General features: G+C 41.8%; 1 annotated feature.

The window, feature by feature from the left end:
* Positions 12,092-12,592: an enhancer, noted in NCBI's record as "H3K4me1 hESC enhancer chr17:59591549-59592049 (GRCh37/hg19 assembly coordinates)". NCBI's record gives its function as "activates a minimal SCP1, AML or CMV promoter by ChIP-STARR-seq in primed H9 embryonic stem cells {active_cell/tissue: H9 hESC(primed)}" and the evidence as "EXISTENCE:reporter gene assay evidence [ECO:0000049][PMID:30033119]".

Genomic DNA, 14,344 nt, shown 5'->3' on the forward strand with positions numbered 1-14,344 from the left:
GAGAGGGAACTCTGATTTGAAAGAGTTTGCTTTCTCTTTCCTTTGGCCTTAGTGTGTTTGAGAATGCTGGTTCAGATTCATTTTTGAAAGGCCTGATGATAAAATGTGCTGAGATGGAGCAAAGAAATTTAATAGGCATACGGACACTAAATCTTGTGGAACTGTTAGTCTTCAGGTTGGCAGGGAGAGGGTTAGATTAATATTGATATAGAGATACTTTCTCATTAGGTCATAAAGTGATTATTTCTTTCTGTTGAGTCTCTATTTAAAGTTTTAGTCAAATTGAGAAAAATGTCCAAAACCAGGATGAATCAGGTAGTTTCAGTCCTCTGCCTCTGTGCTGAGTTCTCTAGTATATTTCATACGGGAAACAGAAGGCGGACATGGTCCTGTAGTCTAGGAGCATGTTCTTTCAACTGCGGACTCAGAAGTAGCAGTAATGGCAACAATGAGGGGTATAATTACCACCCACAACATTGGCCATATGAAAGAAATTCCCCTAACTTCCTTCCTCTGCATCTCCAAACTTAGTTCGTTCTTTATTTGTTTTTATTGTGCGTGGTATTTAATACTTTTCCACTCTATTTTCTAAGTGGTTATTTCTGAGATGTAGTAGGAAAACGGTTTTTATTTTGTAAAGGATTACTATGACTCTCTTGAGTCTGGAAGTTTTTATTTGTTTCCTTTAGATTTTCTAGTTAATCTTGTCATTTTCAAATTATAGTCACATGTCACTTAACAATGGAATACGTTCTGAGAAAGGTGTTGTTATGCAGACACCATAGAGTGTATTCACACAAACCTAGATGGAATAGCCTACTACACACTTAGACTATGTGAAACAGCCCGTTGCTCCTAGGCTACAAACCCGTAGAGCATGTTACTGTACTGTATAATATAAGCAATTGGAATATAATCGTAAATATTTGTGGATCTAAACATATTTAAACATAGAAATGGTGCAGTAAAAATATAGTATGAAAGATTTAAAAAAATGGTACACCTGTGTAGGGCACTTACCATGAATGGATCTTGCAGGACTGGAAATGGCTCTGGGTGAGTGAGTGGTGAGTGAATGTGAAGGCCTAGGACATTACTATACACTACTGTAGACTTTATAAATGCTGTACACTTAGGCAACACTACATTTATTTTTTAATAATAATTTTGTTTTTTGGGACAGGGTCTCGCTTTGTCACCCATGCTGGAGAGCAGTGGCAAGATGATTGCTCACTGCAGCCTTGACCTCCCAGGCCCAGTTGATCTTCCCATTTCAGCCTCCCGGGTAGCTGGGACTACAGGGGTGTGCCACCACACCCGGCTAATTTTTGTATTTTTTGTAGAGACAGGGTTTCGCCATGTTGCCCAGGCTGGTCTTGAATTCCTGGGCTCCAGTGATCTGCCTGCCTCGGCCTCCCAAAGTGCTGGGATTGCAGGCGTGGGCCACCATGCCCAGCTTTAATAATAAATTAACCTTAGTTAACTGAAGGTTTTTATTTTGTAAATGTTTTAATTTTTAATTTTTTCAACTTTTTAACTCTTTCGTAATAAATAATACTTAGCTTAAAACACAAACCCATTGTACAACCGTACAAAAATATTTTCTTTCATTCTATCTTTATAAGCTTTTCTCTATTTTTAAAATTATTTATTTATTTTACTTTTAAAACATTTTTGGTTAAAAATGAAGGCACAAACACACACCTTAGCCTAGGCCTACACAGGGTCAGGATCATCAATATCACTGTCTTCCACCTTCACGTCTTGTCCCACTGGAAGGTCCTCAGGGGCAATAACACACAGGGTGCTATCATCTTCTATGATAACAACACCTTCTGGAATAACTCTGAAGGGCCTGCCTGAGGCTATTCTATAATTAACTTTTTTTAATAAGTAGGAGTACACTGTAAAATAATGATAAAAAGTATAGTAAATGCATAAACCGATAACACAGTGGCTCATTATCAAATATTATGTACTGTGAATAATGGCATGTGCTGTACTTTTATATGACTGGCCCCACAGTGGGCTTGTTTACACCAGCATCACCACAAACATCCGAGTAATGTGTTGCACTCAGACATTAGGGTGGCTACCTAACATACAATTTTGCAGCACTATTACAATCTCATGGGACCACCTCGTAGCATATGTAGTAGGTCATTGACTGAAATGTCAACTGTATTGATATTTCAACCTCTCTGCTTCCTTCCTTCCTCTCTTCCTCTCTTCATTCCATTGTTCCTTTCTATCTTTTGTTGGATGAAACTTACTTTAACGCTAATGATAAATAAATGCAATGATAGATGACCTTCTTGTCTTGACTGTTTTATTGAAATTCTTCTAGTGTTTTATTGTTATATTTTCTTTTATTATATGTTTGATGATTGTATCTGTTTCCATTTGATCTTCAAGAACATTATTTATTTACTGATTTCTACATTTATCATCTTATTCCTAATTTTTTTTCCCTTGGCATTCTGAGTGATTTCTGTTTTAGGTTAACCTAGACACTAAGGATGTACAAATCAAGAGACAAACCACGTCTCTCTGTCTCTCCAGTACCAACCTCTGTATTCCTATTGCCTTCTGGGTATTGTTATTTGATGTCCTCTAGATAACTCAAGCTTGATGTGTTCAAAACTGAACTCTTTTCTTTTCCAAAACAAACAAACAAACAAACAAACAAACAGAAAACTCCTCCTCTGTGTGCTAAGCAGAGGTTGATGATTCATCTGGTCATCTAAGCGAGAAACCTCAGAGTCAATGTTGGCTTCATCTTTTTCCTCCCTCTCCTTTTCACGTATGATTGGAATGCAAGTGTTTTTGTTGAACAAGGTCCAAAGAGTGGAACAGCAAATTAGAAGCTTTCATGTGCAAGTTGCTATGAATGATGTGAAATAAGATATGGTCCCCACATTTGTAGTAGTAAGAAAGGAAACTGCTATTTCAAACAAAAACTGATAGCAGACAGTTCTACAGAAAAGTTACAAAACTGATTTTCAGGGTAGATAACATTATTGTTTAGGAAAACACCTGATGGAACTTTTTGGCTGAGAAAGGCACAGCTGAGATGTGGTAGACAGAGAGAGAGCTGAACTTCTCTGTGGAATAAAGTGAGAAGACTTGAGTTTCTGCAGAGAATCAGTGTGAAGGGGATGGGTGGCAATCAGAGATGACAGAGATGTAAGGATATATGAGAAGGAATTAGGGAGAAAAGAGGGCTTAAAAAGACAGCAGTGGCCGGGCGCGGTGGCTCACGCCTGTAATCCCAGCACTTTGGGAGGCCGAGGCGGGTGGATCACGAGGTCAGGAGATCGAGACCATCCTGGCTAACAAGGTGAAACCCCGTCTCTACTAAAAATACAAAAAATTAGCCGGGCGCGGTGGCGGGCGCCTGTAGTCCCAGCTACTCGGGAGGCTGAGGCAGGAGAATGGCGTGAACCCGGGAAGCGGAGCTTGCAGTGAGCCGAGATTGCGCCACTGCAGTCCGCAGTCCGGCCTGGGCGACAGAGCGAGACTCCGTCTCAAAAAAAAAAAAAAAAAAAAAAAAAAAAAAGACGGCAGTAAGCCAGAATCAAAGGATAGAAGAATTTCTCTTTCTTTCTTTCTTTCTTTCTTTCTTTCTTTCTTTCTTTCTTTCTTTCTTTCTTTCTTTCTTTCTTTCTTTCTTTCTTTCTTTCTTTCTTTCTCTCTTTCTCTCTCTCTCTCTCTCTCTTTCTTTTCTTTCTCTTTCTTCCTAGGAAAAATTCTCTGTCGTGGGGAGGGCCTGGGGACTTTCGGACCCTGCTGTCTCGTGTTCACTCCCAAGTTGTTTGCTCTACCACCTTGTTAGCCCTTCTATGACTCCCGTAAAAATATACTATCCCTAACAGCCTGTGTAGATGGTGTTGAAGGAAACGAAGGGTGAGGGCAATAAAAAGAAGTACAGCCTCCTCCACATCACCCCTCCCTGAGGCCAGCGTGGCTGGTAGCAGCACCGCGTGGAGGAAGGACAGTTTAGGACTGTGCCCTTGAAACAAAACCCCCTTTCCTCAAGGATACCAGAAAAAAAGTGACATTTGAAAGGGGGCAGGCAGACACTTGGATTGCACTTTCACTCTAGTGCACTTTGTAACTGTGTTACAAAGCAGTGTCAGCTAGGTGCCACAGAGTGGTACATGCAAAAGACAGTTGGAGTTCATTAGAGGAAAACAGAAACACTGAAAATCACCAGGTCTGGGGAGGCCTTTGATATTCATGAAAATGGAGTGAGATAGAAGTATCTGAATAATGCCAGGTGCAGTGGCTCACACTTGTAATCTCACCTACTCAGGAGGCTGAGGGAGGAAGATCATTTGAGCCCAGGAGTTCAAGGCTGCAGTGAGCTATGATCACACCACTGCATTCCAGCCTGAGTGACAGGGCGAGACCCCATCTCTAAAAAATAAAATAAAATCTGAATATAAATAACAAAAGCAACGTGCACACCAACAACACAAACACAGATCAATGGGCTACGAGTTACTAAACACTATAACAATGGCTTTGGCAAGTTTAAGAGCACATTTTAAAAAGTAACACAACACTCAATATTTGCTGATTAAATGCATGAATGAAGAATCTGCTTAAAGTAATTCAGAATGGGAAGGTGATAAATGAACCAGTGTAGCTGATCAAGTGGGAAAGATTGTAAAATAAAGGAATGAATGGCTTACAAGGAATATTTGAGATCTTGAATTAGTATGTGTACTGAAAAATAAATTTGGCTAATGAAGAAACAAGCCGCATAAACACTAGGGCATCTAATTACTTTACCAACATCATGTACGTGGTACTAGCCAGGTCAAGGTCAATTGATGAAAAGATCAACCGAGGGGGAAAAACCTTAGAAAGATTCTTAAATTCTGCACTAAAGAGCAGTAAAGACAGAATTGGAGGGTTTGAATCCAAACGCCACTGCAACTGCCTCCTGATTCATTCTGATCATAGGTGGCTACTCCGAGTATATTAAAGTAACAGAGAAAAACCTGTGCAGGAGGGGGTGTGTGTGTGTTTGTGTGTTGTGTTCACATGTGTGTTTGGGGTTTGGGTCTGTGTGCTGTAACAGGGATGGGGGAGGATAATATGAATGAAGGTCTAGGGGACATTTTTGAGTGAAACTTTGTGATTAACAAAATAAAAATTGGAGCGCCCAATTGTACTTTGTATAATCCTGGCCTAAAATTTTGTTCTTGTAAATAATAATATTGGCTTTTCATATGACAAATACATGGGACGTGGTGAGTTGAGTTAGAATGGTTAAACACATGGTGCTAATATTCCTGAGTATTTAAAGAAAAGAATCAGACCCCAGGCCAACAATTATTTCTCTGCTACAGTCTTCACATGGGCCAAATGTGTGGATGTGAGTTGGGGGAGACTGGCGGAGGACACGTTTGTGGCAGAGATCGCAGATGGGCTGAGCAGTTTGACTGCTGGCGAAGGGCTACACTTCCTAAGGCAAAGGGAACATTTGCTGAGAGCTGTGTGCCATGTAGGCAGTTGATCTGGACCGTCTTATAGATTCTCACAAGCAACTGAGGCGGGTGCAATTATCTTCATTTAACAGACAGCAGACTGAGGGTCTGAGAACTTACACAGTGGATAAGGATTGGAACTTGGTTTAGATACCAGCTTTGTTCAGCTCCACAGTGAACCCTAAGTAAGGGTAAGGATTTCTTTTAACAATTTCGTATTGACCCTCAAGAATAAATAATCTTTTTGCGACTCTGATAGCTGTTTGACACTAAGCAAAATTCCCCTAGAACAGGTGAAAGTTATCAACAAAGCCTGTGCTTTTTGGGGGCCTCTAGAGACAGACTCCTGCTTTGAAAAAAAATGTGTGTGAAATAAACTGAATCAACTCCAGATTCCTCCCAACCAGTACTACTCAACAGGCACCGGGGGAGGCACTCACTAAGGGTGAACTAAATCCCAGCTTATTTTTCCTCCTACGAGAAACAATTATATAAGAAAAGTATGAAGATAGTAATTACAAACTATATTAAAACTTTTGCTTATCAAAAGCCAGCATAAGTAAGTGAAAAGATAAGTTGGTAATATATTTGCAACACATTAGCTAACAAAGATATACCACATGTAAAGAATGTCTATACATTAATAAGAAAAAGACAAACAGTTCCATAGAAAACCAGTAAAAGATGGGCACTGTGGCATGCACCTGTAGTCCTGGCTACTCAAGATATTGAGGTGGGAGTCTCATTTGAACCCAGGAGCTTGAGGCTGCCGTGTGCTGTGATCGTGCCTGTCATAGCACTGCACTTCAGCCTGGGAAACAAAACAAGACACTGTCTCTTAAAAAAAAATAGTTGGGCAAAAGGCTGGAACATTGTATTAGTCTGTTTTCACACTGCTATAAAGACACTACCTGAAACTGGGTAATTTATAAACAAAAGAGGTTTAATGGACTCACAGCTCTGCATGGCTGAGAGGCCTCAGGAAACTTACAATCATGGCAGAAGGCAAAGAGGAAGCAAGGCATGTCTTACATAGTGGCAGGAGAGAGGGAGGGTGGGGAAACTGTCACTTTTAAAGCATCAGATCTCATGAGAACTCACTCACTATCACAAGAACAGCATGGGGGAAACCGCCCCATGATCCAATCACCTTCCACCAGGTCCCTCCCTCAACACATGGAGATTACAATTCTAGATGAGGTTTGGGTGGGGACACAGAGCCAAACCATATCAAACATGTACTTCACAAAAGAACAAATAGGACTGACTGATAAATGTATGAAAAAGATGCTCAATCTCATTGAAAATCAGGAAAATGCAAATTAAAATCACAAAGAGTTACCGTTTCACCTTTACTAGATTGTCAAAATATAAAAAGTCAAATAAAACCAAAAATTAAAAGAACATAGAGCAACTGAAACAAATACACACTGTTGGTGGTTGTGTACAACCATTTGGAAAACAATTTGGCATTATTTGGGAAGTTGAAGACGTACAAACTCTATAATCCAGCAGAAAGAAATCCTTGGAGAAATTCTTGCCATGTTACCTGGGGGCAGATACGGTAACGTTCAAAGCAGTATTGTTTGCAATAGCAAAACACTGGAATCAATCCAAGTATCTATCAAGAGACGGCTTGTTAAATACATTTCAGTATAGTCAAGCAATGGAATATTAAACATGAGTGAATGTTGCAAACATGTTGAATGAAAGAAGTTGCAGAAGGGTACATACAGTATGATACCTTTTTTTTTTTTTTTTTTTTTGAGACGGACAGAGTCTAGCAGTGTTGCCCGGGCTGGAGTGCAATGGCACGATCTTGGCTCACTGCAACCTCTGCCTCCCGGATTCAAGTGATTCTCTTGGTCAGCCTCTCGAGTTGCTGGGATTACACACACCTGCCACCACACCCAGCTAATTTTTGTATTTTTAGTAGAGACGAGGTTTCACCATGTTGGCCAGGCTGGTCTTGAACTCCTGACCTCAGGTGATCCGCCCTCCTTGGCCTCCCAAAGTGCTGGGATTACAAGGGTGAGCCACCACACCTGGCCTATGATACCATTTTTATGAAGCTCAAAACAAAAAACTGAACAGTGTAGTTTAGGTTTACATACTTACATAGACTTACGTAGGTGAGCCACATGTAACGAACATGCCAGTAAGGATAGTGCAGCCTGCAAGGTATAAGAGGAGAATTTGAAGTTGGGGAGGAATGCATAAGATTATTTGGTGGTGTGAGTGACTTTTTTCCTAGCCTGTGTTTTGGGTGCATAAGTTTTTATCTTACTATTCTTTTGCCTAATATACACTTTGTATAATTTTAAAACATGGAGAATGAAACAGTACTAAGAGCTTGGAAATGTACTGGCTTTAAGAGGAACTTCACTAACTTCTCCTCCTTATCAGTTAATATGCATTGAACACTTTTATGTTGCCTTATTGACTCCCTTTGGAATGGATTTGTGGTGAATAAAGGATTAGACAGCAGCAGGTAAAATTGTTAACTGTTGGTAGATCAGCAGTTTGCTGCTGACATTTAAAAAGGAAAAGTTAAACCTCAGGTTTGACTGACCCCTAAGTGTTCCATGGGCATTTCGGTGGTACCAGTATTAATGAAGATGTTTCTGAAAGTCCCTCTGTTAACAGAATCCTTGTTTCCAGAGATAGAAATCATGTTGGTGGCCTGGGGTTGGGCTCAGAGCCATGGATTCCTCTCCCTGTTTCCAAACCAGGCACTGTAGCCAGACATTCCCTTGCTCCCCTGAGATAAGTCTCGACTCCCCCAGTCTCTCGGCCTATTTGGGATCTAGGGACAACCTCTTGCTCAGGAATAGGGAGGTCCCATAGGGTGGTTGCCCTGCTGCTGCTCTGCCTTTCCTTCAGGGGGACATACGCCTGAGCTACTATTCTCGCTTCTCTTCCTGAAATTATCAAAGCCCCAACACTTGGGAAGATGAGGCTCTTTGAACTTCTTGCAGATCAAGCAGACTGGTACGAGTGCCAAGTTGCCTGAGTATTAATTACCCGAGCTAAGTCATGTGATTCAAGCTCTCACAACTCTCAGGGTCCCCTGCGATACTTGCAAAATTATGAAATATTAGCTTCTTGCCACGTCAGATTCCTCAAACATTGGGATTTATAACGTCATTCTTGGGAGCTTTCTCCTGGGGATTTATTCTTTAATGTAGCTCATATTTTGAATGTCTTTACCAGCCTCAGTGACCAGTGAGAGGTATTAGAGGATGTGGAATGAGTGGAAATCTGAAAATGAAGAGGTTAGAGAGCTTTCCACTAATCATCACTGTAGATACCTTCACTTCTCTGAGTTACCTATATGTTGCTACCAATAAAAGTCAGTCTATTACATGTGTTGACATATATGATCTTTCCTGTTTACAGAAAAACTGAACGGAGAGTATAATTATCTCCAATTTAATAACAAAAGAAATGGAGGTTTAAATACATATTGGTCAAGGTCACAGAACCTGTAAAAACCTGAATCAGCTGCTGACTCCAATCCTCTAGGAAGCTGCCTCCAGTTGGAAATTGAAATGTCTTTTCAAGCAAGAACAGCTTCAGGCCCCAGTGGTAACGGTAAAGGTCATGTGACATGTTGCTCTGAAGATGCAACAACATTAGATTCTACTTATTTTCACTGCTCTAGTTCAGTGTGTAGGGAATCTGTATTTCTGGAGGAACAATATTACTTTTTCATAACACATTTTCTGCACATTCACAGAGGCAGGGCTTTGCTGCATCATAGAATCACAATTTAGGAGCCCATTTTTACCAAACAAGGCTTTGGGGGTGTTTATAGGGGTCCCCAAAATGTCTGAAACTAGACATGTCTCCATTTTTGAGCACACAGCTTTAAAAAAGCTAAGAGACTGGATGCCAAACTTCAGCCCAGAGTGAATTTTTACGACTTGCACTGTAAACCTATGAAATTAGGGGTTTAAAATGGAAATGCTGACACAATCTTTGCACTTCATAGAACATCAAGTGCTGGTGGGGGTAGTGCTCTCTGCTCACTGCTGCTGGCCCCTGCTGGGCTAGGAAACTTCCTGTCCAGCTTTCTTTACTTTGGGGCCTCTGGTTCTCTTCTAGACTTCTCCAAGCCTCCCTCTGGCCTGGCTAGAAAACACAGCTCAGATATAAGCCCATCTGCAGATGTTCAGGGTCAGGCTCTGAACTGGCTGTGGAGTCCAGCCTGGGGAAGCTTTACTGGTTTCAAGCTCTCTGGTGCTGCCTTGGACTGCTGGCCAGGACCTCCTGGCCTCAAACCTTCCGAGTGCCCCTGAAAGGCACTGCTTGGGGCTATGTTCCTTCTAGGGCCAGCGACCAGCTTCCTGTGAACCCTTCTATGACTGCAGAATGGAACCATTCCTGAGGCATCCAGGGCTCCCGCTGGATTTACTAGTGGCTTTTGCTGAGTGCTGAGTTTATATCCTCCTGAAAGGAAAACCTCTATTAAAAACTTTTTCCTTCATGGCAGTAAAGTGACAGATGGTGATTGCTGTCTGAAAGTTACCCTAGATCAGCTTGGCTTCAAGCTTACAGACTTTGAGTCTGACTGCCTGGATTCAAATCTTCCAAATACCTACCTCACAGGATTGTTTTGAAGATTAAATGAGGTTGGTTGGGAGTGGTGGCTCACACCTGTAATCCCAGCACTTTGGGAGGCCAAAGCAGGCAGATCTCCTGAGATCAGGAATTTGAGACCAGCCCGGCCAACATGGTGAAACCCTGTCTCTACTAAAAACACAAAAATTAGCCAGGTGTAGTGGCAGACGCCTGTAATCCCAGCTACTCAGGAGGCTGAGGTGCAAGAATCGCTTGAACCCGGGAGGTGGAGGTCGCAGGGTGCCAGTGAGCTGAGATCATGCCACTGCACTCCAGCCTGGGTGACAGAGCAAGATTCTGTTTCAAAATAAATAAATAAATAAATAAATAAATAAATAAATAAATAAATAAATAAAAGTGATATATGCAAAGTGTGCGACACGCCCTAGGCAAGTATTGAGTGAAGGTAGTGGTCTTCTATCTTGAAGCAAGAGACAGGGTACGGAACTGAGAGGACTGGTTCTGAGAGGCCTGCACATGAATGAACCTAAGGGAGAGAAGAATGGAAATTGATGACTTCAAAATAAAATTGTATTTGCACAGTGCTTCCTAGTGTATAATCTCATAATTTAATCAGAGCACCCCTCTAAGGAAGATGATCTCAATTTTATAGACTGTGGCTCAGAGAGGTTAAGCGTCTTGGACAAGGTCATGCAGGGAGTAAATGAAAAGCCAGGGCTTGAACCACGTCCTGATTCTAAGTTTGGTGCTCTTTCCACGACTTCACAGATTTCTTCTGTTTCATAGATTTCATGATAAACTAGAAGGTGTGGGAGTAATAGTGAAGTCCTTGGCCGGGTGCAGTGACCCATGCCTGTAATCCCAGCACTTTGGGAGGTCAAGGCAGGCAGATCACTTGAGGCCAGGAGTTCAAGACCAGCCTGGCCAATATGGTGAACCCCTGTCTCTACTAAAAGTACAAAAATTAGCTGGGCATGGTGGCATACCTCTGTAATCCCAGCTACTTGGGAGGCTGAGGCACGAGAATTGCTTGAACCTGGGAGGCTGAGGTTGCAGTTAGTCGAGATCACGCAACTGCACTCCAGCCTGGGTGACAGAGCAAGACTCTGTATAAAAATAAAAAATTTCAAAAAAAAAGTGGAGTCCTCATTACCTTATGGGTTCTTAATTTTAAAAGACTGATTTTATACCTTCAAAAAAATGACTCATTATTTAAAGAAAGTGTATTCCATTTCTTTATCACTAAGGACTCCAGAACATGTAACTTGGAGTTAGTACAAGTGAGGCTCCAATGAGCATTTTTTTTTCTTTTTTTTTTTTGCGACAGAGTTTCACTCTTGTCGCCCTTGTCGCCCAGGCTGGAGTACAATAATGCAGCCTCAGCTCACTGCAACCTCCCCCTCCCAGGTTCAAGCAATTCTCATGCCTCAGCCTCCCGAGTAGCTAGGATTACAGGTGCCCACCACCAAGCTTGGCTAATTTTTGAATTTTTAGTAGAGACAGGGTTTCACCATGTTGGCCAGACTGGTCTTGAACTCCTGACCCCAGGTGATCCACCCGCCTCGGCCTCCCAAAGTGTTGGGATTACAGGCGTGAGCCACCACGCCCAGCTGAGCATATTAGTTTTAAAATGGAATTAAATTGAGTTTTCTAACTTAATTCCTCTTTCTTTTATACTTTCTCCAATTTTAGCTTCAGTAATTTTCTTTTTCTTGGAGATTCTCATAATACCTTTCCATCCATGGTCAGAATTTACTTGCAAAACAACAGAGTAAAACAGCATAAAAATAATGGAAGCTGCTTAAGTGTTTCATGGGGCCGGGCAAGGTGGCTCACACGTGTAATCCCAGCACTTTGGGAGGCCGAGGCAGGCGGATCATGAGGTCAGGAGATCCAGACCATCCTGGCTAACACGGTGAAACCCCGTCTCTACTAAAAATACAAAAAAATTAGCCGGGCTTGGTGGCGGGCGCCTGCAGTCCCAGCTACTCCAGAGGCTGAGGTAGGAGAATGGCGTGAACCCGGGAGGCGGAGGTTGCAGTGAGCCGAGATTGCGCCACTGCACTCCAGCCTGGGCGACAGACTCCGTCTCAAAAAAAAAAAAAGAAAGTCTTTCTAATTTGCTTAGATATCTAACCCCCACGTAAATGTGGGCATGAAATAATTAAGTAACAAAACTCTAGTTTGCTACAGTCACAAAGGAAGGTGTGATGTAACCCAAGAACTGTCATTTCTTCTGCACGTTGGAGAAGACTTTTTCAGGTTGTTCTGTTCTCTTCCTAAAAAAAAAAAAAGGAAACAGAGAAATGGAGAGAAGATAAAAAAAAAAGCAAGAGACTAACAGATATCAAAGCTGTGCGAGAGAGAGTGGCTGTGGCATGTATTTTGCAGGGCGGAGAGTGAAAGAAAGTGAACTTTCATTTGTAACAGCTTTAAATGGTTCTGTTCAGGAGCAGATGGGGAACAATTTTGCTAGTGCTATGGAAATACAGTTCGAAGGACTGCAATCACAGACCAAACTCTCAGCAACTGCAGACAGAGAAGCTGAGAATTTTCTGTAAATAGTTAAAAGCATCTGGACAAGGTAGACCAGTAGGAACATAAGACAGCATGGAGCTCAGAAAGTCAGCAGTCAATGTACACAACAAAAGAGTCGGACCAGGAGAGAGACAACCCACCAGTTATTTAGTGTAAAATGATTGGTGCTTAATATTGAAACTGTATGATTGTATAAAAGAACTGATGATTATAGTTGAGTTTAGAGATTTATGTTTAAATTAAATAATAAAATATAGCTTATTCTACAATGTACATTTTGTCCTATAATATACATTTTATTATATAATATACATTTAGTCAAACCTTTAAAAGGATCAATGAGATCCTTTTAAAAGTCTTCATGGGCCAGGCACGGTGGCTCACTCCTGTAATCCCAGCACTTTGGGAGGCCAAGGTGGGTGGATCACCTGAGGTCAGGAGTTCGAGACCAGCCTGGCCAATATAGTGAAACCACGTCTCTACTAAAAATAAAAAATTAGCTGGGCATGGTGGCGCACGCCTGTAGTCCCAGCTACTCGGGAAGCTGAGGCATGAGAATTGCTTGAACCCGGGAGGCGGAGGTTGCAGTGAGCCGAGATCGCGCCACTGCACTCCAGCCTGGGAGGTTGCAGTGAACTGAGGTCGTGCCACCGCACTCCAAAAAAAAAATAAATAAATAATAAAAAATAAATTTAAAAAAGTCTTTATGAAGTCTTGAGTTCGAACAGACAAAATCCTTTAACTATTCATGATACTCGAACCAAGTGGATTCCAGCTCCCAACTATAGGCTGGGATTTTGATGCCAAAAATTGGCAAGAAAGACAAAACAGCTGAGAATAGTGCCTGATGAAGGTGAACCACACTTGCAACTGCTTATATGTGGTCAGGTTTGTGTTAATGACTCTTTATGCTGTGGCATTCACAAAATTTCTCTCTCATCTTGGGATTTTTCCTCTTTCTTTTTTTTTTTTTAAAGACGGAGTCTCGCTCTGTCACCCAGGCTGGAGTGCAGTGGCGTGATCTCGGCTCACTGCAACTTCTGCCTCTCAGGTTCAAGCAATTCTCCTGCCTCAGCCTCCCAAGTAGCTGGGATTACAGGCACCCACCACCGTGCCTGGCTAATTTTTGCATTTTTAGTAGAGACGGGGTTTCGCCATATTGGCCAGGCTGGTTTCGAGCTCCTGACCTCAGGTGATCCACCCGCCTTGGCCTTCCAAAGTGCTGGGATTTCAGGCATGAACCACCATGCCCGGCCCCTCTTTCTTTTACTGGTAAGAAATTATAGCCGTACTCTGTCTCTCAGCTTCTCATGATCTCAGACTCCTATGGTCTCACCATTATTCCTTTCCTAATACATTCCATATTTTAGGCCATATATCTCCCCTGAGCCAGTCAGAGCTCAGTCTCTCCAGAAACACAGCTATAAACCAGGAAGAAAGGGAAAATGAAGGGTTAAGTAAAGAGAGAGAATGAAGCTTTATGTATCACCTGCTATGTGTCTAGAACTCTGTTATATACTTTATATATATTTCCTCACTTAATCTTTGTAACTGTATGATATCAGTCTTATTTACTCTATCAGATGATGAATCTGAGGTTCAGAGAGATTGAACAACTTGCCCAAGATGACACAGCTAACAAGTAGAGGAGTTAAGATGCAGATTTGGGTCTGTCTGATTCCAAAACTCATATTCTTTCCACTGCACCACACTGCTTTCCAAAA

The sequence above is a fragment of the Homo sapiens genome, chromosome 17 (assembly GCF_000001405.40).
Source record: "Homo sapiens chromosome 17, GRCh38.p14 Primary Assembly".
Classification (NCBI taxonomy): domain Eukaryota; kingdom Metazoa; phylum Chordata; class Mammalia; order Primates; family Hominidae; genus Homo; species Homo sapiens.